Source organism: Homo sapiens, chromosome 7 (genome assembly GCF_000001405.40).
Source record: "Homo sapiens chromosome 7, GRCh38.p14 Primary Assembly".
Lineage (NCBI taxonomy): Eukaryota > Metazoa > Chordata > Mammalia > Primates > Hominidae > Homo > Homo sapiens.
In genome coordinates, this window is record NC_000007.14 from 36,703,459 (window position 1) to 36,725,028 (window position 21,570).

The 21,570-nt window shown below is 40.0% G+C and overlaps 1 protein-coding gene across 14 annotated transcripts in view; it reads right to left on the reverse strand.

The window, feature by feature from the left end:
- Nucleotides 1-21,036, reverse strand: part of AOAH (acyloxyacyl hydrolase) — a 211,554-nt gene extending 190,518 nt beyond the window's left edge. For all 14 annotated transcript variants that reach the window (NM_001177507.2, XM_011515334.3, XM_017012102.3 and 11 more), the window contains exon 1: nucleotides 20,564-21,036. In NM_001177507.2, the coding sequence (NP_001170978.1) occupies nucleotides 20,564-20,690 (127 nt within the window). In that variant the 5' untranslated portion in view covers nucleotides 20,691-21,036. The remainder of the gene's footprint in view (nucleotides 1-20,563) is intronic.
- Between the last annotated feature and the right edge of the window lie 534 nt (nucleotides 21,037-21,570).

Here is a 21,570-nt window from a genome sequence, read left to right on the forward strand (position 1 = left end):
TGGGTATACACGTGCCATGGTGATTTGCTGCACCCATCAACCCGTCATCTACATTCGGTATTTCTCCTAATGCTATCCCTCCCCTTGCCTCCCACCCACCTACAGGCCCTGGTGTGTGATGTTCCCCTCCCTGTGCCCATGTGTTCTCATTGTTCAACTCTCACTTATGAGTGAGAACATGTGGTGTTTGGTTTTCTGTTCCTGTGTTAGTTTGCTGAGAATGAGGGTTTCCAGCTTCATCCATGTCCCTGCAAAGGACACGAAGTCATTGGTTCCAAGTCTGCTATTGTGAACAGTGCTGCAATAAACGTATGTGTGCATGTATCTTTATAGTAGAATGACTTATAATCTTTTGGGTATATACCCACTAATGGGATTGCTGGGTTGAATGTTATTTATAGTTTTAGATCCTTGAGGAATCGCCACACTGTCTCCCACAATGGTTGTACTAATTTACACTCCCACCAACAGTGTAAAAGCGTTCCTATTTCTCCACATCTTCTCCAGCATCGGTTGTTTCCTGACTTTTTAATGATCACCATTCTAACTGGATGCAAGTTACCATGTGGTGTTATTTTCTTTCTGTCTGAAGGTGTGAGATGGTATCTCATTGTGGTTTTGATTTGCATTTCTCTAATGACCAGTGATGATGAGGTTTTTTTTTCATGTTTGTTGGCCGCATAAATGTCTTCTTTTGAAAAGTGTCTGTTCACATCCTTCGCCCACTTTTTGATGGGGTTGTTTGTTTTTTTCTTGTACATTTGTTTAAGTTCCTTGTAGATTCTGGATGTTAGCCTTTTGTCAGATGGATAGATTGCAAAAATTTTCTCCCATTCTGTAGGTTGCCTGTTCACTCTGATGACAGTTTCTCTTGCTGTGCAGAAGCTCTTTAGTTTATAAACACCTCTATGCAAATAAACTAGAAAATCTAGAAGAAATGGATAAATTCCTTGACACATACACCCTCCCAAAACTAAACCAGGAAGAAGTCAAATCCTTGAATAGACCAATAACAAGTTCTGAAACTGAGGCAGTAATTAATAGCCTAGCAACCCAAAAAAGCCCAGGACCAGATGGATTCATAGCAAATTCTACCAGAGGTACAAAGAGGAGGAGCTGGTACCATTCCTTCTGAAACTATTCCAAACAATAGAAAAAGAGGGACTCCTCCCTAACTCATTTTATGAGGCCAGCATCATCCTGATACCAAAACCTGGCAGTGACACAACAAAAAAAGAAAATTTCAGGCCAATATCCTTGATGAACATCAATGCAAAAATCCTCAATAAAATACTGGCACACTGAATCCAGTAGCACATTAAAAAGCTTATCCACTATGAGCAAGTCAGCTTCATCCCTGGGATGCAAGGCTGGTTCAACATATGCAAATCACTAAATGTAATCCATCACATAAACAGAACCAATGACAAAAACCACGTGATTATCTCAAAAGATACAGAAAAGGCCTTCAATAAAATTCAACACCCCTTCATGCTAAAAACACTCAATAAACTAGGTATTGATGGAGCATATATCAAAATAATAAGAGCTATTTATGACAAACCCACAGCCAATATCATACTGAATGGGCAAAAGCTAGAAGCATTCCCTTTGAAAACTGGCACAAGACAAGGATGTGCTCTCTCACCACTCCTATTCAACATAGTATTGGAAGTTCTGGCCAATGCAATCAGGCAAGAGAAATAGATACTCAAACAGAAAGAGAGAAAGTCAAATTATCTCTGTTTGCAGATGACATGATTGTATATTTAGAAAACCCCATCGTCTCAGCCCAAAAACTCCTTAAGCTGATAAGCAACTTCAGCAAAGTCTCAGGATACAAAATCAATGTGCAAAAATCACAAGCATTCCAATACATCAATAATAGACAAACAGCCAAATCATGAGCAAACTTCCATTCACAATTGCTACAAAGAGAATAAAATACCTAGGAATACAACTTACAAGGGATGTGAAGAGCCTCTTCAAGGAGAAATACAAACCATTGCTCAAGGAAATAAGAGAGGACACAAACAAATGGAAAAACATTCCATGCTCATGGATAGGAAGAGTCAATATCGTGAAAATGGCCATACTGCCCAAAGCAATTTACAGATTCAATGCTATTCCCCTCAAGCTACCATTGACTTTCTTCACAGAATTAGAAAAAAACTACTTTAAATTTCATACGGAACCAAAAAAGAGCCCGTATATCCAAGACAATCCTAAGCAAAAAGAACAAAGCTTGAGGCATCACGTTACCTGACTTCAAACTATACTACAAGGCTATAGGGCTACAGTAACCAAAAGGCTGCAGTAACCAAAACAGCATGGTACTGGTACCAAAACAGATATATAGACCAATGAACAGAACAGAGGCCTCAGAAATAACACCACACATCTACAACCATCTGATCTTCAACAAGCCTGACAAGAACAAGCAATGAGGAAAGGATTCCCTATTTAATAAATAGTGTTGGGAAAACTGGCTAGCCATATGTAGAAAACTGAAAATGAACCCCTTCCTTACACCTTATACAAAAATTAACTCAAGATGGATTAAACATAAGACCTAAAACCATAAAAACCCTAGAAGAAAACCTAGGCAAGACCATTCAAGACATAGGCATGTGCAAAGACTTCATTACTAAAACACCAAAAGCAATGGCAACAAAAGCCAAAACTGACACTTGGGAGCTAATTAAATAATGTATTTCTTACATAATAAGACTTTAAAGTCAAAATGACTTCTTGATTCATGAGCTACAGAATAGATGTTGTGTTAGAGACATGAAAATAAAATTAATCTCCCTGTACCTCTTCATCAGCGCTCTTGGATGACCAGGTGCATTGTCAATGAGCAGTAATATTTTGAAATAAATCTTTTTTCTGAGCAGTAGGTCTCCACAGTGAGCTCAAAATATACAGTAAACCATACACAAACAAATTTGCCGTTATCCAAGTTTTATTGTTCCATTTCTAGAGTACAAGCAGAGTAGATTTAGAAAAATTCCTAAGGGCCCTAGGATTTTCATTATGGTAAACAAGCATTTGCTTTGACTTAAAGTCACCAGCTGCATTAGTCCCTAACAAGAGTCAGCTTGTCCTTTGGAGTTTTGCAGCTGGGTATTGACTTCTCCTCTCTAGCTATGAAAGTCATATAGATGACATCTTCTAATAGAAGGCTATTTTGTCTACATCAACAATCATTTGCTTAGAACAGCCACCTTCATCAATGATCTTAGCTAGATTTTCTGGATAACTTGCTGTAGCTTCTACATCAGCATGTGTTCCTTCACCTTGCACTTTTATGTTATGGAGATAGCTTCTTTCCTTAAACCTCATAAACCAACCTCTGATAGTTTTATACTTTTTTTCCAGCTTCCTCACCTCTCCTAGCCTTCATAGAATTGAAGAGAGCTAGGATTAGGCTTTGGCTTAGGGGAATAGCATGGGTGGTTTGATATTCTATCTAGACCATGAAAAGTTTTCTCCACATCAATGATAAGGCTGTTTCACTTTCTTATTATTGGTGTGTTTAGTGGAATAGTGCTTTAATTTTTTTTCAATAACTTTCTCTTTTCTTTTTTTTTTTTGGCATTCACCACTTGGCTAACTGTTTGGCATATCTTGGCTTTAGACATGCCTCCTCACTAAGCATAATAATTTCTGGCTTTTGATTTAAAGTGAGTTTTGTGTGACTCTTTCTTTCACTTGGGCAGTTAGAGGCCATTGTAGGGTTGCTAATTGGCCTAATGTTAATATTGTTTTGTCTCAGGGAATAGGGAGGGCAATGGAGAGGGGGAGAGATGGGGAAATAGCTAGTTGGTGGAACAGTCAGAACACACACATTTATCAATTAAGGTTGCTGTCTTATATGGGTGTGGTTCATGGCACCCCGAAACAATTACAATAGTAACATCAAAGATCACTGAACACAGAGCCACACTACAGATATAATAATGAAAAAGTTTGAAATATCCTGAGAATTACCAAAATGTGACACAGAGACATGAAGTGAGCACATGCTGTTGGAAAAACGGTGCCAATAGACTTGTTTGGCATAGGGTTGCCATAAACCTCCAATTTGTAAAAAATGCAATATCTGCAAAGTGCAATAAAATGAAGCACAATAAAAAGAAGTGCTGCGTGTCATTTTACTACCTTCTGGCCTAAAAAGTTCTGATGAAAGTTCAGCGATTAGTCATATTACTGTTTTCCAGTAAGTGATAAGTCATTTTTCTGTTTGTGCTTTCAAGATTTTTATGTTGTATTTGGTTTTCAGAAGTTTGAGTTTGACTATAAGGTATCAAGATTTACTTCTCTTTGTTTATTTGGAGTTTCTTGAGATTCTTGGATCTGTAGGCTAATGTTTTTCTTTTCTTTTCTTTTCTTTTCTTTTTCTTTTAAACAGACAGGGTCTTTTTCTGTTTCCCAGGCTCAAGAGATCCTCCCACCTCAGCCTCTGGAGTAGCTGGTTACATATCACCACGCTGGGCTAATTTTTTATTTTTTGTAAAGATGGAGTCTTGTTACGTTGCCCAGGCTTGTCTTGAACTCTGGGACTCAAGTGATCCTTCCACCTTGGCCTCTCAAAATGTTGGGATTACAGGTGTGAGCCACTGCACCTGGCCTTTTCTTCATTTTTAAAAAGCTGTTAATCATTACATTTTCAAAGACTTTTTGCTCCTCCTCTCCCGGAACTCCCGTTTTATAAATGTTGAGATACTGGATAGTATACTACATGTTTCTGAGGCTCTGCTCATTTTTCTTCAAGCTTTATTTTCTCTATTCTTTGGTTGGGATAATATGTATTGATGTGTTTTTAGGTTCACTGATTCTTTCTTCTTTGAACTGAAATCTTCTGTTGAGCTCATCTATTACAATTTAAATTTCAATTATTGATTTTTAAGTCTAGTATTTCCATTTGGATCTTTATTATAATTTTATATCTCTATTGAAATTTTTTCTATTTGCTGAACATTGAACACTGTCACAATATTTTCCTTTAATTCTTTCGCTATGGTGGTCTTTAATTCTGTGGATATCCCCATAACAGCACTTTGAAGTCTTTAATTCACTCAGAGTCCCTTTCTATTGACTGCTTTTTTCATAAGTATGGATCTCGATTTTCTGTTTCTTTACATGTCTACTAATTTTTTTTGTTGTTGAAAACTGGAAGTTATAAATAATGCATTTAGCAACTTTGGATTTTGTCTTATTTTTCTAAGAGTTGTTGTCTCTTCTTTTCTAGTAACTTTCTGGGCTTCAACTGTGGATCTGTTTACCCCGGAATGTAGAGTTTTTTACATCTCTGCTCATTTATTAGCCTGGCTTTCTAAGGATCACTCCTGTGTCTACATAGCTTAGAGTCATCGAGCAACTTTTGCTGAAACACTTCAAGCTTGTAAGGTGTGGTAACCCTACAATGGCCTCTAACTGTTCAAGTGAAAGAGTCACCATCTGTTGATCGATCCACGTGTGAGCTAGGGAATATATTCTAAGTGGCAGCCAGTTCTCAAGTTCCCCTGGGCTTTCTTTCACTTTCTGCTGAGCTCTTTTAGGTCTCCCCCGACACATGCATGGTTTCCCAATCAACTAGGGATATGTAGAGAGCTTATCTCAGCCCTTCCATGATGCTCTTCTCCAGATTATTTCCAGGATCTCCCTGCTAAACTTATGGCTGATCACCGTTGCTTCATCAGGGATCAAACCTTGAGCTAGCAAAGCTGTAGGTTCTGCTTGTTAATTCCCAACGGCCTCCATCACTTTTGGCCAGGAGAGCCATGGATCTTTACACCTCGGTGAAATCATCTGTCCCAATAGCAGTAAACCAGCTGGTTTTTGCAGCCAGTTCCACAGTGATAAAACTACTGTTCTCACTAACCAAGCTGAGGGCAGTGTAGACAGAGCAGCCTCAGGCAAGGAGGCCACAGTATAGTTGCTTTTACTGAAGTTCATGCAGTTTTTCAAAAATAAATATTTCTCAATTCATTGTATGCCACTGATGATTTCCTGCGCCCTGAAATGCTTGTGATAATTTTTCCAGTTTTATACTTAGTCTTTTGCACAGAGGAATTTCTAACACCTTCATGCGATCATCATCAGAATTCTCTTTTGTACTTATTTTTATCTGAAGGAGCCTAGGGGTTTTAGGTTCCAAAGGGCAAGTTAGCCTTCTCTAATTACATCTGCATTTTGTTAAATTGCAAGGGTCATTTTAAAAGACAGATTTTTTTTTTCCAAAGCAACATTCAGGCAAGGATTTTCCTAACATTGAAAAACAACTGTTTTATATGCAAAAAGGTATGACATTGGAGTGATTATGTTTTCTTTCCAAATTTCCAGAGTGTGAAATCCATGAGAAAAAGCTTGCATATAAAAAACGAAAAACCATAAACAAACCCAAACCACCAAAAACCCCCAAAGCCCAAAAAACTTGTTCAGTCTGCAACTTAATCTTCATCTATTGATTTCTATTATGTATTCATGTCTATTTGGTGAATCACTTTGGAACTAAGTCACATAAATTCTCTCTTGTGATATTATCTGGGTGTTAAGTTTGAAGGCTCTTTTTGGTCTTTTAAAAGCATTTCTATGTGTGGTAGGTAGAATTATAATATTTCTGCCTCCTGATGAACACATCTTACTTAATTCCCTATTCTGAATAAGGGCAGAACCTGTGAAAATGACTGGATATCACTTCCACGGTTATATTCTGTTACATGGCAATGACAAAAGGATTCTGCATATGTAATTAAGGACTCCAATCAGTTTATTTTGGGGTAATCAAGATTTTCCTAGATGGGCCAGGCATATTCAGGGAACCCTTTAAATGTAGAGTTTTCTCTAGCTTGTTTTGAAAGAAAGAAATAGCTATGCTACTCACTCCCTAGGAAGAGGGGCAGACTCTAGTAATTGAGAGTGATCCCTAACTGATGGCTGGGAAGCAAATGGGAGTTCAGTCCGGCAACTGCAAGGAACCGTATTCTGCCAACAACCAGTGAACTTGCAAGAGGACCACAGTCTCAAATCAGACTGAAGCCCTGGCCAACATTTTGACTTCAGCCTTGTAAAACTCTGAGCAGGGAACTCAATTATGTTATGTCCAGGCTTCTGATGTGCAGAAACTGTGAGGTAATAAATTTGTGTTGATTTAAGCTGATAAGTGTGTGGCAATTTATCACGGAGCAATAGAAAGCTAATACACTGTGCAATCTTCCTTTATAAATTAATCTTCCTTTGAAACACCCAAGATTTGAGAATTTCTATTTACTTAAGATACAGGTTGCCATGAAATTATTCAGTTACTCAGGACTTTTTGCCTTACAATAGGTTTAATTTCACAACTTCTGGAGCACAGTTTCTATGCATTTCTTTCTTGATTTCCAAAAGAATAGATAATCACAACCCTTTTGTGTCCTTGCTATGTACCAAGCACAGTTCTAAGTGACAGGCTGTTCGCATCACCCTGTGTAATTCTCATTTTGCAGATGAGGGGAGTGAAGTGGTGCCGAGGGTGAAGCTATGCCCCCAAAGTCACATTTGTACAGAGTGGCAGAACCAGGATTCAAATCTGAGAGCCCCACACTCTGCAGGTCTTAACCCCATGCCTTACTATTGCTTCCACAAGCACATTATAGAAAGTGTGGAAAATTCAGAAAATTACTGAGAAGGAAATATAAATCACTAGTAATGTCTTCATTTAGAGACAGCCATGTAATCACTATGACTATTTTGGCATTCATTCTGTCTAGGAAAATAGCTCTGTCAATAGAGAGGTGGGCACATTATAACTTAATGGGGATTTTACTCTGCTTAATGCTTTACAACTTCTTCTTTTTTCCCTTTTCCATAACAAATTTTAAAATATTCTGTATTCTTACCTCCAGTATTAATATATTTACAAAAAAAAATTACTTCCTTTGTTCCTGAAGCACAGCATGCTGTCATCATGGATTCTTTCGGTATTGCTCACTGTGTGACCTTTCCCCAAAGTCACAGGCCCTTCTCAGAGTGTCCCTGTGGTCTTTCTCTTCAGGTTTCCACCTCAGAGCAATCCAGGAAAGAGAGAGGCAGACAGGTGGTGAAAAATTCAGATGATCAGAAACCTACCATTTGTGCTAAAGTTGGGGTTAAATGCAATGATAATTTAAAAATAAAGGTAGGAGATTATGGAGAAGAGAGAGTGTATGGGAACTGCCACGGTAAAGGGCACGTGCAGAGGGCAGTAGCTGTGTCCAGAGAATGAGGGTGGTCCAGCTAGACCGCGAAGATCTGCCTGGCCCATGAGGGTGGAATGTGTGGTGGGTCAGATGCAGGGCCAATGTCCAGACTGCATGGCTAAGCCAAGACCATGAACCCCACCAACCCTGAAACTTCACTTGCTGGCGCTCTTAGGGCTGAGGACAGAGACCACCTCCAAAGGCTGAGAACCATGAACATCAGAGTGACGGGTAAGTCCTCCTGGAGAACTAAGATCAACCCTCACAGAGGAGGGAAGGAAGAGGAAAAGCTAGTTACCAAAGGAGACTCAATTTAACCACATAAATGGCAAGATGAAATGTTTTCTGCTATCAGCAGAAACAGTGTCTTATGAACAAGCGTTTAGTTATAGAGAAATAGAAAGAGTGAAATTTCTGTGTGTCTAAGTCGTGATAATAAATTTTCAACCTTCTGTTGGCTCTGTCTAAATCCTTCCTATTCTTGTCAGTGACACTGTTATTTTATTGCTCACATTGGCTTGAAATTATGTGGCCACCTCTGTGTTCATCAATCAAACTATGAAGTCATCGTGAACCACTCTGTGTGTGGTATGCGGGTGTGGAGAGGGGATTATAACCTGACACTGAAGGCATTTTATATTTAACCAAATGTGAGTAAGGGAAAAATTCAGGTTTTTTCTTAACCTTTTAAAAAGCTTCCTGAGTACCAAATAGTGCTTTTAAAAAAACGAACATTCAGTGAATTAATTTAAATGTCAATGACTTAGAAACACAAGGATTATTTTCCCCCTAAATCACCCATGTAAAGAAATGTTTTGCAAAAATTAACATGTCTTATCATTTATTCTGCAACATTTGAAAAGTGGCAGAAAGAGGCACAGCCTGTTCAAGCATAGTCGACCCCTGGGTTACCCAAAAAGGGAAGCCCATCAGACTAACAGCGGATCTCTCAGCAGAAACTCTACAAGCCAGAAGAGAGTGGGGGCCAATATTCAACATTCTCAAAGAAAAGAATTTTCAGCCCAGAATTTCATATCCAGACAAACTAAGCTTCAGAAGTGAAGGAGAAATAAAATACTGTACAGATAAGCAAATGCTGACAGATTTCGTCACCACCAGGCCTGCCCTAAAAGAGCTCCTGAAGGAAGCACTAAACATGGAAAGGAACAACCGGTACCAGCCACTGCAAAAACATGACAAATTTTAAAGAGCATCGAGGCTAGGAAGAAACTGCATCAACTAATGAGCAAAATAACCAGCTAATATCATAATGACAGGATCAAATTCACACATAACAATATTAACCTTAAATGTAAATGGGCTAAATGATCCAATTAAAAGACACAGACTGGCAAATTGGATAAACAGTCAAGACCCATCAGTGTGCTGTATTCAGGAAACCCATCTCACATGCAGAAACACATAGGCTCAAAATAAAGGGATGGAGGAAGATCTACCAAGCAAATGGAAAACAAAAAAAGGCAGGGGTTGCAATCCTAGTCGCTGATAAAACAGACTTTAAACCAACATAGATTAAGAGACAAAGAAGGCCATTACTTAATGGTAAAGGGATCAATTCAACAAGAAGAGCTAACTATCCTAAATATATATGCACCCAATACAGGAGCACCCAGATTCATAAAGCAAGTCCTTAGAGACCTACAAAGAGACTTAGACTCCCACACAATAATAATGGGAGACTTTAACACCCCACTGTCAACATTAGACAGATCAACGAGACAGAAAGTTAACAAGGATATCCAGGAATTGAACTCAGCTCTGCACCAAGCAGACCTAATTGACATCTACAGAACTCTCCACCCCAAATCAACAGAATATACTTTCTTTTCAGCACCACACCACACCTATTCCAAAATTGACCACATAGTTGGAAGTAAAGCTCTCCTCAGCAAATGGAAAAGAACAGAAATTATAACAAACTGTCTCTCAGACCACAGTGCAATCAAACTAGAACTCAGGATTAAGAAACTCACTCAAAACTGCTCAAACATGGAAACTGAACAACCTGCTCCTGAATGACTACTGGGTACATAACATAATGAAGGCAGAAATAAAGATGTTCTTTGAAACCAATGAGAACAAAGACACAACATACCAGAATCTCTGGGACACATTCAAAGCAGCGTGTAGAGGGAAATTTATAGCACTAAATGCCCACAAGAGAAAGCAGGAAAGATCTAAAATTGACACCCTAACATCACAATTAAAAGAACTAGAGAAGCAAGAGCAAACACATTCAAAAGCTAGCAGAAGGCAAGAACTAACTAAGATCGGAGCAGAACTGAAGGAAATAGAGACACAAAAAACCCTTCAAAAAATCAATGAATCCTGGAGCTGGTTTTTTGAAAAGATCAACAAAATTGATAGACCGCTAGCAAGACTAATAAAGAGGAAAAGAGAGAAGAATCTAATAGATGCAATAAAAAATGATAAAGGGGATATCACCACCGATCCCACAGAAATACAAACTACCATCAGAGAATGCTATAAACACCTCTACGCAAATAAACTAGAAAAGCTAGAAGAAATGGATAAATTCCTCAACACATACACTCTCCCAAGACTAAACCAGGAAGAAGTTGAATCTCTTAATAGACCAATAACAGGAGCTGAAATTGAGGCAATAATTAATAGCTTACCAACCAAAAAAAGTCCAGGACCAGATGGATTCACAGCCGAATTCTACCAGAGGTACGAGGAGGAACTAGTACCATTCCTTCTGAAACTATTCCAATCAATAGAAAAAGAGGGAATCCTCCCTAACTCATTTTATGAGGCCAGCATCATCCTGATACCAAAGCCTGGCAGAGACACAACCAAAAAAGAGAATTTTAGACCAATATCCCTGATGAACATCGATGCAAAAATCCTCAATAAAATACTGGCAAACCAAATCCAGCCTCACATCAAAAAGCTTATCCACCATGATCAAGTGGGCTTCATCCCTGGGATGCAAGGCTGGTTCAACATATGTAAATCAATAAATGTAATCCAGCATATAAACAGAACTAATGACAAAAACCACATGATTATCTCAATAGATGCAGAAAAGGCCTTTGACAAAATTCAACAACGCTTCATGCTAAAATCTCTCAATAAATTAGGTATTGATGGGACGTATCTCAAAATAATAAGAGCTATCTATGACAAACCCACAGCCAATATCATACTGAATGGGCAAAAACTGGAAGCATTCCCTTTGAAAACGGGCATAAGACAGGGATGCCCTCTCTCACCACACCTATTCAACATAGTGTTGGAAGTTCTGGCCAGCGCAATCAGGCAGGAGAAGGAAATAAAGGGCATTCAATTAGGAAAAGAGGAAGTCAAATTGTCCCTGTTTGCAGATGACATGATTGTATATCTAGAAAACCCCATCATCTCTGCCCAAAATCTCCTTAAGCTGATAGGCAACTTCAGCAAAGTCTCAGGATACAAAATCAATGTGCAAAAATCACAAGCATTCTTATACACCAATAACAGACAGAGAGCCAAATCATGAGTGAACTCCCATTCACAATTGCTTCAAAGAGCATAAAATACCTAGGAATACAACTTACAAGGGACATGAAGGACCTCTTCAGGGAGAACTACAAACCACTGCTCAATGAAATAAAAGAGGATACAAACAAATGGAAGAACATTCCATGCTCATGGGTAGGAAGAATCAGTATCATGAAAATGACCATACTGCCCAAGGTAATTTATAGATTCAATGTCATCCCCATCAAGCTACCAATGACTTTCTTCACAGAATTGGAAAAAACTACTTTAAAGTTCATATGGAACCAAAAAAGAGCCTGCATTGCCAAGTCAATCCTAAGCCAAAAGAACAAAGCTGGAGGCATCACGCTGCCTGACTTCAAACTATACTACAAGGCTACAGTAACCAAAACAGCATGGTACTGGTACCAAAACAGAGATATAGACCAACGGAACGGAACAGAGCCCTCAGAAATAATGCCACATATCTACAACTATCTGATCTTTGACAAACCTGAGAAAAACAGGCAATGGGGAAAGGATTCCCTATTTAATAAATGGTGCTGGGAAAACTGGCTAGCCATATGTAGAAAGCTGAAACTAGATCCCTTCCTTACACCTTATACAAAAATTAATTCAAGATGGATTAAAGACTTAAATGTTAGACCTAAAACCATAAAAACCCTAGAAGAAAACCTAGGCAATACCATTCAGGACATAGGTGTGGGCAAGGACTTCATGTCTAAAACACCAAAAGCAATGGCAACAAAAGCCAGAATTGACAAATGGGATCTAATTAAACTAAAGAGCTTCTGCACAGCAAAAGAAACTACCATCAGAGTGAACAGGCAACCTACAGAATGGGAGAAAATTTTTGCAACCTACTCATCTGACAAAGGGCTAATATCCAGAATCTACAATGCACTCAAAACAAATTTACAAGAAAAAACAAACAACCCCATCAAAAAGTGGGCAAAGGATATGAACAGACACTTCTCAAAAGAAGACATTTATGCAGCCAAAAGACAGATGAAAAAATGCTCATCACTGACCATCAGAGAAATGCAAATCAAAACCACAATGAGATACCATCTCACACCAGTTAGAATGGCGATCATTAAAAAGTCAGGAAACAACAGGTGCTGGAGAGGATGTGGAGAAATAGGAACACTTTTACACTGTTGGTGGGACTGTAAACTAGTTTAACCATTGTGGAAATCAGCGTGGCGATTCCTCAGGGATCTAGAACTAGAAATACCATTTGACCCAGCCATCCCATTACTGGGTATACATCCAAAGGATTATATATCATGCTGCTATAAAGACACATGCACACGTATGTTTATTGCGGCACTATTCACAATAGCAAAGACTTGGAACCAACCCAAATGTCCAACAATGATAGACTGGATTAAGAAAATGTGGCACATACACACCATGGAATACTATGCAGCCATAAACAATGATGAGTTCATGTGCTTTGCAGGGACATGGATGAAGCTGGAAACCATCATCCTCAGCAAACTATCAGAAGGACAACAAACAAAACACGGCATGTTCTCAATCATAGGTGGGAATTGAACAATGAGAACACATGGACACAGGAAGGGGAACATCACACACCGGGGCCTGTTGTGGGGTGGAGGGAGCGGGGAGGGATAGCATTAGGAGATATACCTAATGTTAAATGATGAGTTAATGGGTGCGGCACACCAACATGGCACATGTATACATATGTAACAAACCTGCACGTTGTGCACATGTACCCTAAAACTTAAAGTATAATAAATAAATAAATAAATAAATAAATAAATAAATAAATAAATAAATAAAAAAGCATAGTCGACCCTGCATTTGCTTAGTGTTCAAATGGGACATACTGTTCAGTGCTAACAAATATGGTAAACTGGGGAAGGGGATCTTGGGGCTTTCCACAGCTTCAATCTGCTTTGGGAATACATTTATGGCCACGTCCTCAGGTCTTCTGGTTAGTTCCCCACTGCGGGGTTACGCTTTGGGATTGGAGCTGGGGTTGTTTGTGATGGGTCTGTAGGCTCAATAGCTCAGTAACTTCAGTGAGGGCTCCTTTTAGAGTATCCCTCCAGTCACAACAATACCCTGCTTCAGTGAGAGCTATCCCCTCACGCCATGAGCCTGGCAGCCATCTCTGTATTTTGAGCTCTCCCCACTCCCACCCACCCCTTAGTCAGTGAACTAAAGACTTAGCCCAAATTCTCTCTGCTGGGAAGCTGGAATTGGTAACCAGAAGGTGAACACACTTCTGCGGGCTGAACTACCACATATGAACTCAGAGCTTTTGGGAGCCAGTAGTCAACCAAAGGGTGGAGGGCATTAAACCAGCTGGTCTGTAGGGATAGAGATGGAGGCAGTGGCGAGGCACCGGGAGAGAGAACTCTCTGGGTTCCTGGCGGCCAACATTTTTTGTTTCCTAGCTTGATTTGTAGGCCTGTTTTCTCCTTTTGATTCTAAAATTCACTCTTGTAATTCTCACAAGCAAATTTCCTCTTTTTCTCTTCTTATTTTTTTTTTTTTTTGCTTAGCCTAGTTTAAGTTAATTCCTGTTACTTGCAACCCCAGGAGTTTCGCTCCTGGTTGCTATATTTGTGGTGAGGAACTTGGTGTCTGGGAAATAAGACAAAGGAACAGGCACATGACAAAAGAAAACTAATAACTACAACAACAATTTTAAAATATAGGTCTTAGATATGACACCAAAAATACAAGAGACAAAAGAAAAAAATAGATACACTGGACTCCATCAAAATTACTAAATTTTGTTCGTGAAAGGACACCATTATGAAAGTGGGGGAAGGAAACACAGAATGGGAGAAAATATTTGTGAATCATATATTTGAAAAAAGACGTCTATCTAGAATATATGGAGAATTTTTGCAATTCAACAATAAAAAGACAAACCCAATTTAAAGAGGGGCAAAATATTTGAATAGAAATTTTTTTTCAAAGAAGATATACAAATGGCCAATAAGCACATGAAAAGATGCTAACATCATTATCATTTGGGAAATACAAATTAAAACCAAAAATGAGATCTCACTCCACAGCTACTATGATGGCGATAGCAAAATGATGAATAACTAAGTGTTGGCAAGAAGGTGGAGAAGTTACAACTTTCATACACCGCTGGTAGAAATGTAAAATGGTGCAGCTGCTTGGAAAATAGTTTGGCAGTTCCTCAAAATGTTAAAGATGGTATTACCGCATGCCCTAGAAATTCCACTCCTAGGTATATACCCAAAAGAAATAAAAACACATGTCTACACAAAATCTTGTACATGAATATTCATAGCAGAATTATTCATAATTACCAAGAAGTGAAAACAACTCAAATGTTCATCAACAATGAATAAATAACAAAACCAAGTATGTCCATACAATGGAATATTATTCAGCTGTAAGAAGAAACAGGGTTGATACATGCCACAACATGAATGAACCTTGAAAACATTATGCTAAGTCAAAGAGGCCTGTAGCAAAAGGCCATGTTTTATATTATCGTATTTATGTGAAATGCCCATAGAGACAGGAAGTAGAGTGGTGATTTCCAAGGGCTATAGAGAGAAGGAAATGGGGAGTAAATGCTAAGAGAATTGGATTTTTGGGGGGAGCAGTGAAATGTTCTGGAATTAGATATTGGTGATCAATGCACAACTCATGAATATACTAAATGCCACTTTTACACTTTAAAAGAGTGAAGTTTATGATACATGAATTATATTTCTCAATAAAGCTGTTATTTAAAACAATATGGGAAAAATATTTTACCCTGATTTAATCACATCAACAATAACATAATCATAATTAAAGCGAGGAATAAGCCAAGTTTTAACTAACTATGTAACCTTGAACAAGTTACTTATTTCTGTCTTTATTTTTTCGCCTACCAAACAAGGATAATGATAATACAGACTTCATAAGGTCATTGTAATGATTAAATGGGTTAGTACACATAAATCTTTTGGAAGATGGCTTATCATACAGTCAGTGTCCAATAAATGTTGGCAATTATTATAATTATTAACTCGCAAATGTAATTTGTGTGGCTGAAGAGCACTTGGCTGTAGTGACTTTCTCCAGGCATCACTCCAATTAGTCCACATTCAAGTCAGAGAAAAGATGGAAGGTACAACCCCCACGGAGAAGTGTTGGGGAGACCAGTAGCAAAACAAACTTTATGAGTAAGAAGCAAATTTGATTACTCAACAATAATCTTCATAAAAATGGATGAAACCCAACTAGTTCAGTTGATCTTGAAGAAAAATAGGAAGGAAGAACTTCTTCCATGTGTTGGGAAGGTGATATAAATATTTTAGGTTATTATGATCTTACAAATCAAGGCAAGGATATCCTTTTATGATCAAGGTAAGAATTTATGTTGGAATGGCAATTAAAAGACAGCTGACAACTAACAAAAATGAAGAGGGCTGGACACGGTGGCTCATGCTTATAATCCCAGCACTTTGGGAGGCTGAGGCAGACAGATTGCTTGGGCCCAGAAGTTTGAGACCAGCCTGGACAACATAATGAGACCCTGTCTCCACGAAAATAAAAATAAAACAATTAGGCAGGCATGGTGGTGTGCACCTGTAGTCCCAGTTACACAGGAGGCTGAGGTGGGAGGATCACTAGAGCCTGGGCTGTTGAGGCTTCAGTGTGCTATAATTGTACCACTGCACTGTAGCCTGGGTGATAGAGTAGGACTTTGTCTTTATTAAAAAAAAAAAAAAGATGAATCATTCTTGCTCAGATGGGATGATCAGAAATCCAGCTGCCTAATCACCTTTTGCTCAGAAAAGTTTCTGTGGCCTGGGTTCTTTCAGCAAGCAGGTGAATGCAACAGAATCTTTGAGATAACTGAAGCTTCCTTCTTTGACTAGCAATATTCAGGTAGAAATGTTTCTAGAATTCTAAAGTTTTTTTTTTTGTTTTGTTTTGTTTTTTGAGATGGAGTCTCGCTCTGTCGCCCAGGCTGGAGCGTGGTGATGTGATCTCGGCTCACTGCAACCTCTGCCTCCTGGGTTCAAGCGATTCTTCTGCCTCAGCTCCCTGAGTAGCTGGGACTACAGGCATGCCCCACCGTGTCCTGCTAATTTTTGTATATCTATATTTACATTTTTTTTTTTTTTAGTAGAGACAGGGTTTCACCATATTGACCAGGCAGGTCTCAATCTGCTGACCTCGTGATCTGCCCACCTCAGCATCCCAAAGTGCTGGGATTACAGGCGTAAGCCACCACACACGACCTAAAATCTTAAAGTTTTAAACACTCTTTTTGAGGCTATTACTTCACCTTCCCCAGGTGGCTTTATGAGCGGAGTCTGCAGTGCCTGCTTCCAAGCTATGAGCCTCTGCCCTGCACTTCATGGTGCTCTGCTGGCTCTGGCATTGGCAGTTTAAAGAGTTTTAGAGAAAGGGTATTATCAAGGGCACTAAGGGCCCAGTTCAACATTCATTTTAAAGGACTGTAATCTTTACAAGGCTCCAGGTTTTCGTTTTCCTCTAAACTGGACAGTGAATTTCCTGAAGACAGACATTCTAAAAATCCTTCCTCTCCTTCATCTGTGTATCCCTGCTCTCGCATATTCAGTGGCCATGTGAGAACTGAGTGCGCGGAAATGTTTGGGGACCACCTTTCTGCTGGAGGGTTTGAAGTCATGTAACCCTGCTTTTTGTCAGAAAGTTGTTAGGGTGTTGGCAACAAATGTAGAGTTAGAAGAACTCCAATCAACAATTCCTTCTCTTTTCTCCTCTCTTCCACACACTTCTTCCTCTTCCCACCAGCTGCGAGAGAGCGGACCTCACTGCTTCCTGAGATGCTTCCCACATACAACCCTTCCAGCAGGTACACCCCAGGATCCCGTATCAGGAGACACTCGCTCCCCAGCTTCTGGAGCCATTGGTCTGAAGGATTATGCCAGCATCAGAGTCCCTTGCCAGAACTGTCTCCACCAACGGGAGATGTCTCAAAATTACAGCCCTCCCCTGTGGTCAGGTCACATCGAGGGACTGTTTGATGTGGGAATTCCAAGACCTGCACCTACTTCAGGACAACTCTGAAGAGCTATTTTAGTCCCAGAGCTCTCAGTGGGACTTCTTTTATGGCTGCAGCACAGCCCGGCTTCTCTCTGCCAACCCCACTGCCTTCCTCTCTTGCTCGTCTTTTTGCCAAGAGCACTTCTCAATAAACTCCCCTGCACACACATTTCTAATCCTGTCTCCCCCAAAAGCCAACTTCAATCAGTGAAGCACCAAGTTGGACCACCTTCAGCCCCTGTCTCAGCACATAGGCAGTGCTCAGTAAGTGTTCATCACAAGACTGGACTCCTCTTGCACCCACCTTTCTTGCTATTATGACAACAGGTGAATAAGTCACCCAGGCAGAGTTAACCAGAAGAAGTTGGGAGTTGCTGGGAAAATGGATGCTAAATCATCCTCAAACCTAATCAGCAACAGAGTCTCCAAGCCCTTGGGGCCATGAGAATTTGTATGGGCAACCAAAGTGAACCTCTGTGAATGATAGAGATGACCACACATTTCTTGACCCTCTCCATCAAAATGAAGGGTCTCTGCCCCCTCCCTTTGAGTCTGGGTGGAGGAACTTGTGAATGCTTTGAGCAATGGAAGATGGCAAGTAATGCTGTGCCTGTTTCCAGACCCAAAACTTGAAAGATTGGCAGCTTCTAATTCCTGTCTTTTGGAATTCTCTCTGGGATTCCTAAGCTGCCAGGTAAGAAAGCCTACTACCCAAGATAGCCATGTGTGGGCACTCTGATGGCACTCCCAGATGAGCCAACCCTCTAGCCATTCCCTCACCCCTAAGGTGCCAAATATGTGAGTGAAGCTGTTTTTGTCAGTCCCAGATCCATCAATCCACCATCCGAATACCACCTCCTAACCTCGGTCACTCCTACATGGAGAAGAAGAATCACCAGCCAGTGTTCGAACAAATTTTTCACCCATAAAATCATAATACAACAAATGGTTATTATTGTAATTTTTGATGCAGCAATAATAGAAAAACCAGAGCAACCCCATCCTGAAATCTCCCCAACACCTCCTTCTTACCCTCTATGACCTCACTGGGAACAGGGCAGAGAAAGGAATGTGTACCTCCTGTCCATTTTACTGAAGTGAAGGTCCAAGGATCTCAGCCCTGACAACTTGCCCAAACTCAAACATTTAGTTTGCAATGAGCCCAGAAGTAAAACTGATTTCATCTGAGCTTTTCTCAAGTGTATTTCCATTTGATGGGCAGTAGGGTTTTGTTTTGAGAAAAATGAAAAGGTGGCAAATAGTTATTTAAGGAAACCAAATACTGGGGGAGGATGATCTCCCAGGCATGGTTCAAAGGACCACACACCTCTGCCTTCAGGTCTCTGGAAAATAGTCTTGGGGAATCTGGGTCTTAATTAAAACAAGACTTTGGAGGCTGGGCGCGGTGGCTCATGCCTGTAATCCCAGCACTTTGGGAGCCAAGGGGGGCGGATCACGAGGTCAGGAGTTCGAGACCAGTGTGGCCAACATAGGGAAACCCCATCTCTACTAAAAATACAAAAAATTAGCTGGGTGTGGTGGTGTGCATCTGTAATCCCAGCTACTCCGAAGGCTGAGGCAGGAGAATTGTGTGAACCAGGGAGGCAGAGGTTGCAGTGAGCTGAGACTGCACCATTGTACTCCAGCCCAGGTGACAGTGCGATAATCCATCTCAGAAAAAAAAAAAAAAAAAAAAAAAAAAGGACTTTGGAAGTAGAGATGCATCTCCTAACATGTACAATGACCTGAGGCCATGATTTTGAGGAAGTAGGACAAATTCAGATATATTTCCATATTGTCTCCAGAAACAATTCCTAAGTGTCAGAATCTGTGTCCAGATTTTCCATTTGCAGCATGTAGCCATCAGACTTATCCTAGAGTTATTTTCCTGGCTTCTCAAGCTAGGATTGTATTTTGAGGTCTGCTCATTGAACAATTACTTACTACTCAGAGTTCTGAGTCTATGTGGCTCCATGGACTGTACCATCTAAATGCCACCACTATTATGAGAATTCCCATGTTATGAGAGCTACAATGTGAATATCAAAGATCTTACCTTACTTCCTGCTCTCATCCAAAAAAAACAAACAAAAAAAACCTCTTGGAAATAAAACACTTCATTAACAGATGAGCCAAGAAGCCATATCAACGCTCAGCGTCTCCAGGTGATCGCCAAATCTGGATTCTCTGAGAGACGGAAGGAAGCTAAGATGGTTGAGTCCTTACTGTGTGCACATGCCACAGATTTACATGCATGGTCACAATTTCCATGGTATCCCTATGAGATGGGTCTCACTCACTTCAGTTCACCAATAAGGACACAGAAGCATGGAGAGGGTTAAGTACATTGCTCCAGGTTTCCACAGCCAGTAGGAAATGGGAGAGAAGGGTAGGAGGAGGGCAGTGATTCAAACTCAGATGTGTTTATATGAGGTCAAAGCCCATGAAAAGCAGTAAAAATTTCAGACTAAAATAGCCTGAAATAATAGTTACCTATACAAGAAGAAAAAATTCCAATCGCCAATGAGGTGGAAGAGTTTTATGCCCAATTTAAACTAGTATGCTTTTTATTCACATAGATGTATGTAGTGTCAATGTCTACTCTTAGACTCCACATTTCTCTGTGTCAGTGAGGTTACTGGTGCCTTACCTGGAATCTTACAATTCTTGATTTAATAAAATATGTGATTTATTACGCAAGCAAAGTACTGGATCCCATTGTTATGTCTACATAGAAAATACAAAAATATTTATTTGCATACCTACACAGGTGTGCCCATTCGAGAGGCTGGGCCTGGACTGGTCATCGTTGGCTGGAGAGGCCGAGGACTGAAGAGACAGGAGCAAGAATAGAGGCGCCACCGTAAGGATTTTCCAGGGGGACTGCATCTCCGAGCTATGCACCCCAAGTGATCACCCGGCTTTGGAAGCTCCCAACTGAGGGATGCTGGAGCTGAGGCTGCAGAATCAATTGATCTCTCTCTCCTTCTCTTCCTCACTCTCTTTGACACACACACCCCACCCTCTCACATACACACTTTTCAATAAGTGTGAAGTGAATAAAAGCACACATAAACACTCACAGACCCACAGCTTGCTCTTGTTGGACCCTGAGAGAGCCACACACAAAGAGCTGGAGGGAGTCTGTGGTGTGCGGTTCTGCTGAGGTAAAGACTGCAGGATAAAGAAAACCCAAGTTGCACAGTGGCACAACTTCCGTGCTCCCTGGCTCAGTGAAGTTAGTGTGCATAAACCCCGTGAGCCTCGAGGCTTGCCGGAACTGATCTGTTGGGTTGGTTAGGAGGCCCTTCCCCTTTCATTCTTGCAAAACAAAACAAAACGATACTAAAGCCAAAACTGAGAAGAAAAAAGAAAAAAAAAACTAATCCACAAGCACACAACCCTTTAACAATTTGATCAGCAGCACCCACATATTGTAGAAATTCTAATTGGTTACATTCAGAACTTACTTAGTCTTGTTTTCAACAGCTTTATATGGTAAGGTTGTGATCCTTATTTTGTTGTAAAAGGATATTCTGGTCAAATAATATCTTTCCTCTGGAGAAATTGGGTTATTCCTTGAAGGGTCAAGGCCTTTTATTTGGTGTGCAGAAAATAAACAGTACAGAAAATAATGGGCAGTTAGCATGGTGGGATTTTAGACCTAATGAGAAAAAACATGGGTTAGAATTAATCAATTCACAGTTGCTAGGCTGTGCACAATGCATCTTTTTTTTCTCCAGAATTTCGAAGTGCATTTTGTGGATGA